This window comes from Homo sapiens, chromosome 13 (genome assembly GCF_000001405.40).
Source record: "Homo sapiens chromosome 13, GRCh38.p14 Primary Assembly".
NCBI lineage: Eukaryota > Metazoa > Chordata > Mammalia > Primates > Hominidae > Homo > Homo sapiens.
The window spans coordinates 60533553-60549864 of NC_000013.11; the positions used below are offsets into that span (position 1 = coordinate 60533553).

Below are 16312 nucleotides of genomic sequence, written 5' to 3' on the forward strand. Positions count from 1 at the left end.
ATCATTGGAACCCGAGAGGCGGAGGTTGCAGTGAGCTGAGATTGCACCACTGCACTCCAGCCTGGGTGACAGAGGACGACTCTGTCTCAAAAAAAAAGAGAGATGCTATTAGAGTAGATAGTGTTATACTGTAATAGAGTATTCAAATACCCTAGCTTGAAGAAAACATTAAGAGCAATTTGTTTTTTGTGTCCATTTCACCTTTCCTAAGCAACATTCAGACCTACAATTTCTGTCCTGAATGGGATGATCTGTACTGAAAGATTGTTCCAATCAGATGACCTATTCCCAGTTAATTTAACAGATAAATAGAGCTATATATTAGTTATTGAACAGATAAATTTTTAAATTGTAGTTAAGCAACATTCAGACCTACAATTTGGGTCCTGGATGGGATGATCTGTACTGAAAGATTACTGCAATCAGATGACCTATTCCTAGTTAATTAACAGATAAATTTTAAAATTGTAGTTATTGGCCAGACATAGTGGCTCATGCTTGTAATCCCAACACTTTGGGAGGCCAAGTAGAGAAGATCACTTGAGGCCAAGAGTTTGAGACCAGCTTGGGCAACCTAGCAATACCCTGTCTCTATGAAAAATTTTTAAAAATTAGCCAGGCATGGTTGTATGCACCTGTAGACCCAGCTACTTGGGAGGTTGCAGCAAGAGGACAACTTGAGCCCAGGAGTTTGAGGTTGCAGTGAGCTATGATCACACCACTGCATTCCAGCCTGGGCAACAGAGTGAGAACTTGTCTCTAGAAATAAATATAAATAAATAAGTAGATAAAATTATAGTTATTAAGTAAATCAGTTCCTTGTGAGTTTGTTAATATGCATCAGTTCTTAGAGCTGGCTAACACTAAGGAAACTGATAAGCCTCCGGACTTGCAATGTCTTTAATCCTATAAATACTGGATCTAAGTGATGCATTTAGCTTCTTGCCTGACATTCCTACTTCATTCTAGCCACTTGTGATGACTGAAGCACTGAGCAGCCTTTTTTGCAATTTTTTTTTTAGTCAGATATTTCTGTTTTTAAAATAAATTACTCTATAGTTATATATTCTGATTAGTATATAAGAATTGTTGGCTGGGCGCAGTGGCTCACACCTTTTATCCCAGTACTGTGGGAGGCCAAGGCAGGCAGATCACTTGAGCTCAGGAGTTTGAGACCAGCCTGGGCGACATGGTGAAACCCCATCTCTATAAAAAATACCAAAAAATTAGCCAGGTGTGGTGGCACACACCTGTAGTCCCAGCTTCTCAAGAGGTTGAGATGGGAGGATCGCTTGGGCTGGGGAGGCGGAGGTTGCAGTGAGCCAAGATCTTGCTATTGCACTCCAGCCTGGGCGACAGAGCAAGACCCTGTCTCAAAAAAAAAAAAAAAAAAAAAGAATTGTCTTACTAATGTGACTCAAAAGGGTTCCAAAGGTAAGTTTCCTTCTAAAGAATATTACACATTGGAACACTTTAAAAATTTACATTTCCCTCAAATATTGCCCTTTATAGACAATACCAGTTGTCATATTTAAAACTCCTTTTGCCTCCTCAGTTTTACCGGGCAGAAGTTGAAGCCCTCCATTCTTCGGGTATGACAGCAGTTGTTAAATTCATTGACTACGGAAACTATGAAGAGGTGCTACTGAGCAATATCAAGCCCATTCAAACAGAGGCATGGGTACGTGATACATATTCTGTACAAAGGCATAAACTATTTTGAAGAAAATATATAGCTCTAAAGAATTAGATAGCCATACAAAATATGCAAGTGGAATCATATTTTGAATTTACTTATAACTGGCTACCCCTAAAGTAAGATTTTAATTCAATGCTTACACTGAATGAACTACAATAAAAATGAATGCATTGAATTACTTTTCTTGTATAATGTTTTGTTGTATTATGCTTTGGAAATAGGTGCCCTTATTTACATTTGCCAAAAATTTGTATGCGTGAAATGGGTTTTTATGCATATTTTGTTTTTTTCCCAGTTTGTTACTTTGAATTTTACTAAATTATGTCCAGCAGCTGTCAAATTCAAATCTCTGTTGGATGTGCAATGTCATTTATTATTTTAGTTACAGGTAAAATTAAAAAAAACACTTTAAGTTATATACAATTTTACACTGCATTTACTGCATATATATTGACGTATATATGTACAGATTAACTATAAATTATCTGTTTGCTAATTATTGGAGTAGTTTTGTTACCAAATGTTATGTCAAAGCTGTGTGATAACTTTGATGATGTAACTTAGAACTTACTGACTCATGGAGTCCATTTTATAAAGAACTTATGTGATTTTATATAGATTGATTCTTACATTTAGGCAAAAACAGGAATACAAGACATATTAGAATTAGCTCTGTGAAGTTTTTCGTACTTCTTTCATTTCTTTAATTTGTGAGTAGCTGTTAATAAATTTATTGTTATAAGCCAATATCAACAAATATGTTGGTATTTTCCTAAAATAGCAAAATATTCTAGAAAATTATATCATCCAGAGTAACTTCATCATTGAAGGGTACATTGTTTTCTCATGAACTGCTTTTAGTTTTGGTCTTCTAAAATTTTTCTGTCATATCTTCAGTGGTACCCCTTCTCCACCTTCCAAAAAGAGAAATAAAACGGCAACAGAAAAACAAAAAACCTAATAGTAGTAATAATGTTTTGGGCCATGGATCTTTATTTTTTGCCTTTTTGTTCTAGAGAAATTATTTTCTAAATAATTTATTATTCCAACTTTTACAACATAAGATTGCTAATGGCTCATATGTTTAATTAAGAGATCGTTTCCCTAACTCTTATCCTCTAAACTTTAATTGCTCTTTGCCTAAAAACTCCAAATCATCAATATCTAATTTACATCTTTCTTTTCTTGGAGAAATTTGGTGTAACCATATTTTTACTCTTCTGAGAGGTTCTCATATGATGGCTATTTTCATTCTCTCTTTTCCATTAATACACACATTTTAATCTAGTTTTGATGATGAAAGTAATTATTTATTGAATCTGTATTTCTACAAGTTGAGTCCTGGTTTGCTATTTATTATGTTCCCAGTTGTTTTTAGCCATAGCAGTCAAAGATTGAAAATACAATTCTTATGTTATTTACTTCTTACTTTTTAGAAGACTTAGTAAGAGATTAATTTTATTCTTCTCTCCCTAAAGAAAAATTTACTTTTCTTACGTGGCTTCTTCTCTCCTTCCTTTTGCTGTTCCAGGGTGGCCATAGCTGATGAGCACATTTCTTATTCCTTACTGTAGCTCTTCTATTCAGAGGTGTTTGGTCCTGAAGTGATCATTTTCTTTCTACAGTCAGTGACTTTTCCTATTTCTCCCTTAAGAGTCCTCATTGCTTTATCCTTGATTTTAGGTCTGTATAAACTTAGCTGGACAATAAATTTATCAGGTGTACAGCTCATTTAGTGATTCTGTTCTGAACTACAGCAATACTTTCATATTCTTCCTACTTATTTGTGAATATTTATCCTTTATTATGTCATTTATTAACCTATTTTCTTTCTCTGCAGTCAACTTAGAAATCTTTTATAAAATATTTGAAATATTTTACAGAAAGAAGCAGGATAGAATCACTAAATCTTTTGGAGATTCTGGTATTTCTTTTCTCCTACTTTTATAATCAAGTGGTTGTTGACGTTTTATGAATTTGCGTAGGTTACTATAACAGACATCTCTGGATCATGCACATTATGATCAGCCTTTCTTCTTTATCTGCATAAATAATTAACTTAGTTGAGAGAAATATCTCCTCGAAATATAGAGGCCACCAGCTTAACATATCTCAACCTATTTCTATTTTAAAAAATATTTGTGTGCATATAGATGTAAAAAAACCCTGAAGAAATATAGTCTGTGTTGCTGTCAGTACATGCAATGTAGAGTTCATATAGAATTCTCTTAGCCCCTGAGAGTATTGAAAGTGTTAATGTTGGGGTCTTTGAGTACTTTTTAAAAATTTTGGTAAGAGGAAACTGTAACAAGTTTTAAGTCAAAAATGTACAAAATTATCAAAAAACAAAACATTCACTGTACCAATAAGAAGGTAACTGTAACTGATAAGTCATACTAGAAAAATTAAAGGGCTGCAAAGCTGCAGGGAAATGGTTAGAGAGGCCTTAGCACAATTACACTATGGATTGTGGAATTTTTAATTTTTTAACTTGTGCACTATATATGTGCACTACAATTTTTTTTATTGTGAAATGGTATTGTATCTTTCATTAAGATTTATGTTTGTATTGCCACAAGATTTTGGAAAACTCTTGTTTTCCTAAATGTAGCAGTGATCATTTAGTGAAGATTTTTTTAAACTAGTTTGCAGAAAAACAGTCAAAAAAGCCTGCATATAAGCCAAAAGCCTTTGTAGAAAATTAGTTGCTTGTGTTGTCTTTTAAAAGTATAAGCATAAATCATTAAATAGAAAGCATGATATATGAAGTGACTCGATGACTAAGTTAATACCTTGTTGTATGGAAAATTAAAATAAAAATCAAGTTAATACTTTAAATCTAAGTGTTAATGTTTTTCTCATGAAATTTAGAAATTATTTGCCTTAAATTTGTCAGTAGACCAAATATTTATTTCTCCTTTTCGTGTGGATATGTATTTTTACTTCCAGAACATACTCAGGGAGTATATTTTTGAAATATTTTGAAAGTATTAATGTTGTGGTCTTTGAGTACACATTTATATGGCCAAAATTGTGTTTCGATTATGATTAAATTCTAATTATCTTCAAAATGATTCATTAAACTTTTGTTGTCATCCCTGATTTATTTGTTCTAGCTAGATTTCACCTGTATTTTTTTTTTTTTTGGCTGTCTTAAGGTATTCTATCTTAATTTGATGTCTTTATTGCAGTGAACTTTCTAGTTAACACACATGAGATGCACAGCTTATTATTAACTGGATAAATGCTCTTATTTATCTCAAAAAATGAGTTCTTTGAACATTGTAGGATTTTTCTTATTTTAGCAAAGTAAATGAAACATTATGGAGTCTCATGTTTCACTAGTAAAATTATATATGGAAAACAACAGATTATTTTCTATTTCCTACCACTGTATGAGAAAACATTAGGGGCAAAGAAAACCTGCTACTTGTGTTTCCCACAGGCCCTTTCCAAATTGCTTCCTTTAAACTCTAAAACGAATTCCAGGAAACCAGTAAAAAGATGCCACAGGCAATTTGGAGGCTTGTAAAATACTCTGGTGCTGCTGGTCAGGCAAACTTTTTGTGTTGTTGCTTCTGAATTGCTCTCCTAAACCTGGGAAAACATTGTTGGGTCCTCATTTTCCATATATATTAATGACCTGAATTATATTGAGACTTTTATATCATAAGAAGTGTTTTACAGTGTGCTAATGTCTAAACTTTCTTTTTAAAAGTTCATAGTATCTGCTTCTTGGTATCAGGAAATGATCATTGTTCAGCTATTATTTCAACTAGAAAAATGATTATTGTGTAGGTAATTGTTAGTTCTAAGACCTTAACATACAATACACATCATCTTGGCCAGTAATTCTGGAAGGTGATAGGCAAATTGTTATCGTCTTTTAGGTGAGCATCCTATCTTAAGTGTTTTTCTGTAGAATACTCATTTATTCAACAAATATTCATTATGTATCTAGTACATCTCTTAGTTGTCGGGCACTGTTCTAGGTGAGGGTATATGTAAGTCTATAAAACACAAAAATCCCTGCCCTCTGCACAAAGATAAGAAAGTCATAGTTTTTATTATATGAAACAAACTGAAATATCTAATTAGGGTCTGAATTCTTCTTGAAGCTTTAAACAAAATATGAGTAGAGAAAATCTTACTGAAGTTTTAATTTAAATAATTATAGGTTATTATTCCATATTAGTTTAAAGATAAAATTAATGTGGAAGAAGAAAGCATAACTTAAAGAATTGTATCTCTTTAAAAAGTTCTTATATATTTTATCTATTTAAAAAGTAAAATTTGTTTTTAGGAGGGTTTGGGTTCTTTTTTTATGATAATTATATATATTTTCATGTTAGCGTACTTTAAAATGAAGAGCTATCAATCTCAAGTTTTAGTTTTGAAGTAACTTTGTATACAATTTATTTTATAATGTCATCCTGGGAAGCACATTTGAAAGTTACCTTTTCAAATTCAAATAATATTAATAAGCTATAAATTATTCCATCACTATTATAATATTAAAAAGAAAAATAGAACCTTCCATAATTCTAATGAGGAGGGTGATGGAGAGTTGTGATACATATAATCATGAGTTTAAAATGAGTCCTAGATAAAGGTCGTGTTAGTAATTTTAATGGCATAGTTATAAAATTAGGCTCCATCTAGTTTTATTTGATAATAAAATATCATAGTAGATATTAAAAAGGATAATTCTTACAAAAACCATTGACCTCAAAGGAGGATTAGAATTATGTAACAGTGTGGTTTTGCCAATTAGTATTTAGTAAACAATACAAGCACCTATGTGACCCTAGTCCAGAAGATTTTTCATTTTTACTGATAAGTTCTTAAATAAGTTTGCAGTTATAATTTTTCATACTTACTGGTTCAGGTCACTGAAATACATCTTCTTCTACCACACATATTTTGGGAAACTTTCAGAGATCACCATGTGAGCAGTGCTCATTTTCTTTTGCAATATAAACAACAGTAAATCAGAAGGAAACTGTATGGCTAGTTTAGCCCCATTTAAGAACATAATTTTCAAATCATGGTACATGGAACTTAGGGATTCCATGCAGTATCTTTAAGCTTTCTTTTAGTAAAGTTTGGTTGTGTTAGATGGAGCTTTATTTATTTCTTCCTCATCTATCACCCAGCCTTTTACCATTTTTGTGGGAGGTTGCGGATTATACAAAAACACTTTGCTGGAGATATAAAAACTGCTGACACAGAAGGACAGAGCATTTATTCATAAATGTATTCCATATGCATAAATGTTACCTTAAAATTCGTTCGTATCTAACTCTTAAATCCAAATTCAGTTTGTGATAGCTAAGCCTAACGGAATATTATGAAAAACTTGAGGTTTAGTTTTGATCTAGCTATATTATTCAATGGGGACATTTTAATTGACCATTTAAATTAATACTAAGAAAATAATATGCTGTTTTAATAATCTGTACAAAGTATTGTTTGAATTCTAATATCTGATAATAACATATTATAATCTATTTAAACTATATGTAAAAACATATTTAAAAGGTTTCTGGGTATTCTGAGTTTTCCTTTATTGAGTAATGAAAATATAGATTATGTTATTATTTCATGTTTCATTTTTCTGATGGTGAAGTAAATCCCAAAGTGAAATAACATGACACGATATTACCTAACACATGCCGTCACTCTTTTTAAAGTTATTTTAATAATAATGCATCTGTTTCTAACTTTAATTACAATTCATAAAATAATTTAAGCCTCAAATTATTTAACTATTACTAAGTGGACATTAGTTCCACTTCATGGTTAAACAAATTTGGAAAATGCTAGATTAAAAATATTAAATATTAGGTTAGCATAACTATTTGAAAAATCTACAGCATTCTTTTTGTTTTTCTATTCTTTCTTTCTTTCTTTCTTTCTTTCTTTCTTTTTTTGAGACGGAGCCTTGCTCTTGTCACCCAGGCTGGAGGGCAATGGCACGATCTTGGCTCAGTGCAACCTCTGCCTCCTGGGTTCAAGCCATTCTCCTGCCTCAGCCTCCCTAGTAGCTGGCATTACAGGCACCCGCCACTATCCAGGCTAATTTTTGTATTTTTAGTAGAAACAGGGTTTCACCATGTTGGCCAGGCTGGTCTTGAACTCCTGACCTCAGGTGATCCGCCTGCTTTGGCCTCCGAAAGTGCTGGGATTATGGGTGTGAGCCACCTTGCCCAGTCCACGGCATTCTTTTATTTTTTTTTGTATACGTGAATAATACCAGAAGCTATTACATTAATCTTTTATCAACTAAATCTCCCCTTTATTAATGGTAACCTAAAGTATGGACTTCTGAATATATGGCATTGGTTAATTAAGAAGTATATTTATGATACTTTACTTGTATATCCAATATTATATAATAGATTGATTTTTCATTCATGTATATCCAATATTATATAATAGATGGATTTTTCCTTCAGCATAGTCTTTTTTTTTTTTTTTTTTTTTTTTTTTTTTGAGACGGAGTTTTGCTCTTGTTGCCCAGGATGGTGCAATGGCACAATCTCGGCTCACCACAACCTCCGCCTCCTGGGTTCAAGCAATTCTCTTGCCTCAACCTCCTGAGTAGCTAGGATTACAGGCATGGGCCACCATGCCCAGCTAATTTTGTATTTTTAGTAGAGACAGGGTTTCTCCATGTTGGTCAGGCTGGTCTCGAACTCCCGACCTCAGGTGATCCACCTGCCTCAGCCTCCCAAAGTGCTGGGATTACAGTCGTGAGCCACCGCACCTGGCCTCCTTCAGCATATTCTTAAGGAAGCATCATCGGTGAGAGCCACAACTGAACGGGGCTGGAATTGTTCAGGTGATCTTATTTTTCCCTTTGATACTTATGGTTCAGTAGTCCTAAAACTTGTTCTCCTGGAAGTGCAAATTTTATCTTTTCATTTACTTTACTTATAGATACTTTTAAAGCTATAATTTTAGACTGTCCTGAATTTTACCATTCTTTCGCAAATATATGTAGAAGACTTGCTAATATACTCAGTGCACAGGAAATAAAGTAGTAAAATAAGTGGATCTGAAGGATATTTTTGTTTTGTCTTATTTCTATGGTCTCAGAGATGTTAGTCTTCTATTGGGCATGCATCTTGACACTCATGTCAATATATTTTAAAAATTTTGTACAAATTGAAAAGGCATCCTTGTTGAATACACACACACACCTGTTTCAGTTTCTGGTGAATTTCTGAGCTTCTTTCATCTGCATCTAAAAAAGCAGAAAAATAATATTGCTCATTTTACCATAGACTTTATTCCCTTTCAGATGGAACTCCCTCAGTGCAGCTTCTCTCCTTTATAAGTCAGTGATGGTGAACCTTGATGGTGATGGACTAAAAGTGGACTTATGATACATATTTGATTGCATACCATAATGAGTTGTCAGTTGTTCATTCTCTTTTTAAATCCTATGTATGTCTCTACTTAATACTATTTCTCTTTAGTCTTACTTTTATCGTCTTATGAGTCATCTCTCAATTTCCATTGTTTCCTAAACATTATATCCTTTTGGCCTTTTAATTTTTAAATTTCTTTTTCTTTTTACCTCTGGTGAGTGGTATCTTTTGATGTATATGGGCTACCCTTACTACTGATCTTAATTTATTGAACTTTACTGGACCTGTGCTGTTTATTCTAGCATCGTGTATAATGGGTTTCACTGTCATACCTCTAGTAAAAGAGTGGAGTTGTTCTGTTTCCCTGTGAGAAATATTCTGGTATTATAGAGCTTCCAGCTCCATTAAACTTGGGAACCACTGGCAAGAGTTTTACATTTTGGCTTGAAATAACTCTTTTAGTAGCCTGTCATTGGCTGAGAGCTCCATTCAGAAGGGAAAGGAAGTACTACAACAGTGAGTACATTTTATTTGCCTTAAAAAACTCATATAGTTTAATAAGAGTAAACATAATGAAGAGGTTCTAGTAAACAACCCAGACCATCATAAGAATACAAAAGTTATTATTTTTTTGTACATAATTATTCTTGCCTCATCCACCCTGCTTGGGGTTTTCTGAAGTATGTTCTGAGGACATTAGTTCCACTTCATGGTTAAACAAATTTGGAAAAATCTAGATTTAAAAAAATTTAAGTACATTTTTTGATTACAGGACTTCTTTGAGTCAATAACAAGTTAATATGTATTTTAAATCTCCAAGAGAGATATATAATGTATGTGTTTCACGAAGTTATTTTCTCATGGAATTTTTTTTCCTGTATAGAACCTATTATACAATGTCTACAGGAAATACTTGGAAACCATCTTAACTATTTGTTTTTATCTTTCTAGTTTTTACATTTCTCATTCATAACATGGGTAAAGATTTATCTCTGGAATACATTGTTTTAGAATTTCCAAACCTCTACTAATATGGTATTTTTATGTTATTAATAGAGATTAAATATATAAACAGCAATTTTTCCTCAATCACATTCCAAGCCTCTTCCTTTCTGTGAGTAGAAGACAAAATATATTCCTGAAATTTTGTCCCTTTTAAGTACTTGTGTCATTAGTAATACTATTTTATTGCATACAAATATTTTATTTTACATATAATTATATACAACTCACTGATCTTTTAATTTTATTTTAACTAATTCTGGAAACTTTTATGTATTAACTTTCAGAAATTGTTATTTATGAAGACTCCCATTATCGTTTTTGTAATATAGCTGTTTTTTTTTTTTTTGTGATTCTTACCTTATAACCTACATGAAGTTTATATGTCCCAGCAGTGAGGTATTTTCATCATTTCTTTGGGTTTTGTATTTGTTATTCCACAATAACCTAGTCTAAGCCAAAACCTGAAATTCCTTTTTTTTTAAATTTTTTTCTGTCGTTAAGCTAGCATTGGCTACTAAATCAAAAAAAGTGTTGGGTTGGGCATGGTGGCTCATGCCTATAATCCCAACACTTTGGGAGGCCGAGACAGGAGGGTCATTTGAGACCAGCTTGGGCAAACATAGCAAGACCCTTACTTTACAAAAATAAAATAAAATAAAAAATTAGCCAGGTGAGGTGGTATGAACCTATAGTCCCAGCTACTGAGGAGTCTGAGATGGGAGGATTGCCTGAGCTCAGGACTTCAAGCTTGCAGTGATCTATGACTGTACTACACTCCAGCCTGGTCAACAAAGCAAGACCATATCTCTTTAAAAAAAAAAAAAAAAGAAAGAAAGAAAAAAGAAAAGAAAAAATTGTCAAAACTAGTAAATTCCATTGGGTATGTGTACATTTTTAAATGGAGAAGAGGCCTCCTAAAAGACCACAATTTCTACTTTGTGTCAACATTTATATTGCTCTTTTATTAATAGGCTACTGTGTTGTCTCTGAAGCCTTTGAATAGTATATTAATTCATTAAAAGCTTGTTATTCAGAACCTTCTAAAAAACAAACTCTTATTAGTACTTAACTGCTCTTGATCTCCTATTCTTACTTTCCTGATACCAGTTGATAAATCAGATGAGCTGTGATACTCCATATCAAACTCCAGAGCTCACTTGAGAGATTTCAAAGTGAGTTCATGCAAAGGAACTCTATAAATAATCAATAGATGTATACTATAAGTACCTTCTCTTTTAAATCTTGATAGTATCAGAATTTTAAGTTAGTATATGAACTGGGTTGTTAGCTAAAACAGTGGAAGGAGATCAGTAATTATTTATTGAATGATGGTATATTCCTGGTGGTCACCTTTATTACTGAAAAGTCCTTCTTCAGACACCAAGCCTGTACATGACAGTTTAATATGATAGCTTTTCAACAAATATTCTGAGTTCTTTTTGTACCAAAGCTACTTTAGAAAAATAGATGGGTCTATATGCTCAAGGGATTAAAAGGATATAAGAGAAGTAGAAGGTATGTTTTCTTCCCTTCAGAAGCCACCTAATATTGTTAAGGCTACCATGACACTGAGATGATACCAGTCTGGGAACCATTGCTGGCATGGGTCTTGATTATAGTTTTACATGATAACAGCATGTTAAGTGAATGAGATAATTTAGGAAGTAATTCGGGAAGCCCAATATAGACTTTTCAGAAACTTCTATTTAACAGCCTTTTATTGGCATCTTTTATCATGTCTGATTATGTTCACTTTTCCCAGATTGTGTAATTAGGAAATTAGGGTCAACCCTCTTGGTCATGATTATTAAAGAGTTTATTATACAAAGCAAGATATTAGAAGTCAGTTTAATTTTAGTTCAGTATGATTCAAACTGTAAAATTTAGGGACATGTAATTTTAAGTGTTGGTAACCATTTTTTTGGTACCACTTAATGAATGACTTAGGACACTAGTGACCATCTTATCTTGAAAAGACTTAATAAGGCTGAAAATAATGTGGAGAATGTACACGAATGTATTTTTTTCTCAAGGTGATCAGATAATATAAATATTATTATTAGGAAATCATGAATTTGACCATCAGTACCCAAAAGAATGTTAGACTTGATTAGATTCTTAGAATATGAAATTGAAGTATTAAAGCAAATGGAAAAAGGAGACATATCAAGGGGTTGAGAGTATTGGTACTTACTCTAAATTTTCAGTCTATTTTAGGTGAACTGTTTATTCTCTTCCTTTTTGTTCTTCCTCTGTTTCTCTCTTTTTTCTCTTTATCTAAGCTCCTCCTCCTCATTCTCCTCCTCTTTTATTTTGTTTTCTATGTGTTTACCTTTTTATTCATCTTATGCGTGTCATGTGGCTTTTATATAGGTTGCATATTTTCCAACTCAGGACTAGTGCTCAAATGAAGTCTAAATAAATAGAGCATCATTTAAAGTTTAGAAAGCCTCTAAAAGCTTTGGGCACAAATACATTGACATACCTGGTTGATCTTTTGTATGCCCTGATTATTGTAAATGCTTGCTTTGTACTTGGCCATACTGGTGGTGGTTCTCATAAATGGAAAGACTTTTAGAGACTGACTTGTATTGGAACTTATTACAAAAAGATCTAGAAATGATAAAATATTGATCATATGCCCAGTCCATTTATGTTGTATTCTTTAGAAATTAGCAAGGGAAATAAAATTTCTCATTAAATACATTTAAAACTCATTAGAAACATAAATAATTAAGATGGGAAATTAAAATATGTAATTCATTTAAGAAAAAGTAAGGAACTAGAGACTAGAAAGTCTAAATTTTGTTATAGAAGTTTAATTATAAAAGCCTACATTAAAAAATTTTAGGCATAATTTAGAAATAAAAAATATATATCTCAAGGTGGTGATGATACACTTTCCTATTTATTGAAAATATTTAAAGTGGTCATGAAAAGACTGAATATGTGAATTTCCTATCTATTCTAATGACTATACTTACATTAATGAAATAGTCATTGAGAGAACATGATTAAGATAGGAAAAAAGTGGTCATACCAGGCTGCAGGTAGATTTGGTGTCTTGATTCTTAGGCAGTTTTCAAAATAATTTCAGGGTAAATTAGCAAAATCAACCCTTCCTAAGTTTAAGGGAAAAGTTATTTTTAAAAACAACTTAATAAAAACTTACACTCTTTTATACAAGAGTGTATTTCCTCTTAATTAGGATGGATGTTGATTAAACTCGAGATACAGCTTTTTGCAGTATGGTGGGTTGGTTTTGGTGTAACGTCTTCAACATGTCGCACTGGCTATCAAAGAATAAGAAAATTATTGAGTATGAGTGTGTTTTATAAACTTTCTGAGTTTTTCAGATGTCTTAATATTTTTAATAGAACTTAATAAAATGTCTAGATTGAAAAAAAATAATTTCAAAGTTTTGACAGAAACTGCTAAGCAAAATTTTTAAGCAAACTGCTTTAAATAATTTTCATTATAAAAAATGTTTTATATTCTGAAATGAGAATTACTATACTTTGAGGTTGCAATGAATTTCACATAAATGGCAAAGTATAACCAAAAAAAATCTCATGACATTGTTCACCACTTTTGCCATTCTTGGACCCAAGGCTGGAAAACATTTTCAGACACTGTGCTTTATCCTGAAAGGATTTGGTGAAAAGGGATCTCTGAGGTGAATATCTGCTCTGCTTGGCCTTTGAGAGAAGGGGAGTGGGCAAGGCTGGTCTTGGGCAAATTACTTCCACCTCCCTTTTTGCCCCTGCTTCAGCTCCAGGGGAGCTGGAAATGCACAGGAGGAGTCAGAAGACCTGGGTTCGAGTCCTGGCTCTGCCACTTACTACCTATGTGACTTTGGGTAAGTTACCTAATATCTCTGGGTCCCAGTTTCAGTACAGGATTGTTGTGAGAATTAAATGATCTATGTAAATGTGCTCTATAACCTCCCAAGAGCTATAGAAATATAAATTCTTATTATCATAGGCTTAGCCTTCTTCTCCCCTATTCTGTAGTCTATTGTCCTCAAATATCCCTTTTTAAAGCAAGCCAGAATGACTTAACTACTTTTGTTTCTCCCTATCTCCTCTTCATATTGAAAATATTATTTCTATCCTCTGTCTGATAAACAGTTAAGTATTCTAAGAATGTAAAACCCAGTTGGTTAAATTAATCTTCACTATACAGAGTGGATTATTATGACCCCTTCTTAACCTTCCCACTCTCACCTTTCTTCTTTAATATTCCCAGAATTATGTGCTTAGAAACATCAAAGAATCTCTAATGCATGAAAATTCAGACAGTGTTGAGGAGAAAGATTTTGGCAGAGGGAAGTCCCTTGAATCCTGTTTCTTAGCTCACTGCTCCATTAGTTAGTAAGGTTGACTGGGAAAATGGTTATATAAATGTGCCTCTAGTCCATTCATTTTCTCTGTGGGAAAGGAAATGGAAATAGTTCAGAGTTAAAAGTTCTTCAGAGGTCTCACTGAAAGCTTAACCTGAGGAGTATAGTAGAGGGAAGACATAAGAATTTGGTGGCTATTTGTTTGGTCAGTGCTTTGAATATTATCTGATTTGCCTCAGCTTCTCAGAAATTAAGTCCTAGCCCACCCTCAGCCAAACTAAACTTAAAATGCTATCTTTATTGGGTGCTCAGTTTATAGAGGGTGCTTGCAGCTAAGGAAGAAAGAGAACTTGCCTTCTGGATCACACCTGGGTTCTGATCAAGGGATTTTTATGAGGGCATAAGAAGAGCTTGTCACTGTACTTGTTCCAGTCCTCTCCAACAATCTAAGAATGCTTGGTCTGACTATCTGTAAATAATAGTAATAATAGCCACTTACATGAGCCGCTTGCCATTAATGCCTAATTACCATGGAGCATAATAACAATTACTCATATCATGATTAGATTACATTATTAAAGATTTTTTTATTTTGTTTTTTTAAGCCTTGAACCATTCACTTATGCTCAATATGGTTTCTTGCTGAAGTAGCAGTGTCATCTTTCATAACTAAAAATTAGAGGAAAATATGGTAGAAATCAAATGCAAATTGAAACAGTAAAATACACTTTGAAATTTACCAATTAGTGGAAAAAATGAAATCATAATACTTACGCTGGCAAGGATGCAGTGATATGGGTACTCTTATACATTGCTGATGGTGCTGAAAATTAGTATGATCCTTTTGATTATTTTTTCCCAACACTTAAAAATGTTCATAACTTTTAAACCAGTAATCCCATAGTTGCTAATGTCTCCTAGGGAAATAGTAGAAGAAAAAAGCTAATTGCTTGGAGATTATCATTGTAGGATTATCATGGTAGTGAAAAACCAGAAGCTACTTAAGCATCCAACAGTAGGAGAATGGTAAATTGTCATTCATCTGCTGGATGAACTATTATACACCTGTGATAAAAAAGATCATTACAAAGGCTGTATGAGGAATGTATATAAGTGATTAAAAGCAATTTATAGCTTGAAAAGACACTCAAGGTAGTGGTGGTTTTAGAGTCAAGTCTCTGGGTATGTGTATTCAATTTTATAAATGTTCTGTAATTTTGGATTACATTTTACTTTTAAAAAGTAAAAGGAAACAAAATGAAAATAGAAACATGTTGTGACAGATCATTATTAGTTTCTAGCTGCAAGAAAAGTTTGGTAACAGTTAACCTCTCAGCCCATTTTCAGTAGAGGTTCTCATTAAGAACCTGCCATTTGAAAATCTGTGTCATCATAGTGACTATATTATTGCCCTAGGATGTCAGCAAAATTCAGTATTGGAAAATGCCCTATAAAGCTGGTTTTAGCTTCTGCTGGTAACATTAATATAATCCTAAAAATATTGACAATGTTTCAGGCCTTCTAGAGCTCATCTTTATGCCAGATATTAATACATTAAATAGATTGAAATGTTAATTATATACTTGAGCATTCTAAGACACGTGTGTGTGTGCACGTGTATGTGCACGTGGACAAACGTGAGAGATATCAGTGTTTAAAAAGTTGTGATATTTACTAAATTTTTCCTTTGGGGGCTTATCTCAGTAAAGAAAGTAAGAAAACGTAGAAAATAATTTTGTTTAAACTTTTGTTTAATCTCATGAGGCTTAACCTATTGACTTATCTGTCTATTATTGACCATTTTATGAAAAGCAATTTTTCTAACATGGAGCACACTTTTGAATGAGAAAAAATTTTTTTAGTGCTCATCGTATTTTTTTTCATGACAAA

The 16312-nt window shown here is 32.8% G+C and overlaps 1 protein-coding gene across 12 annotated transcripts in view; it reads left to right on the forward strand.

The window, feature by feature from the left end:
* TDRD3 (tudor domain containing 3) overlaps positions 1-16312 on the forward strand; it is a 178347-nt gene that overhangs the window by 138020 nt on the left and 24015 nt on the right. For 7 of the 12 annotated variants that reach the window (XM_024449417.2, XM_005266560.3, XM_005266556.5 and 4 more), the window contains exons 12-14: positions 1556-1681; positions 13692-13756; positions 13853-13939. In XM_024449417.2, the coding sequence (XP_024305185.1) occupies positions 1556-1681; positions 13692-13756; positions 13853-13939 (278 nt within the window). The remainder of the gene's footprint in view (positions 1-1555; positions 1682-13691; positions 13757-13852; positions 13940-16312) is intronic. The other 5 variants (XM_047430685.1, NM_001146071.1, NM_030794.2 and 2 more) reach the window with 1 other exon arrangement.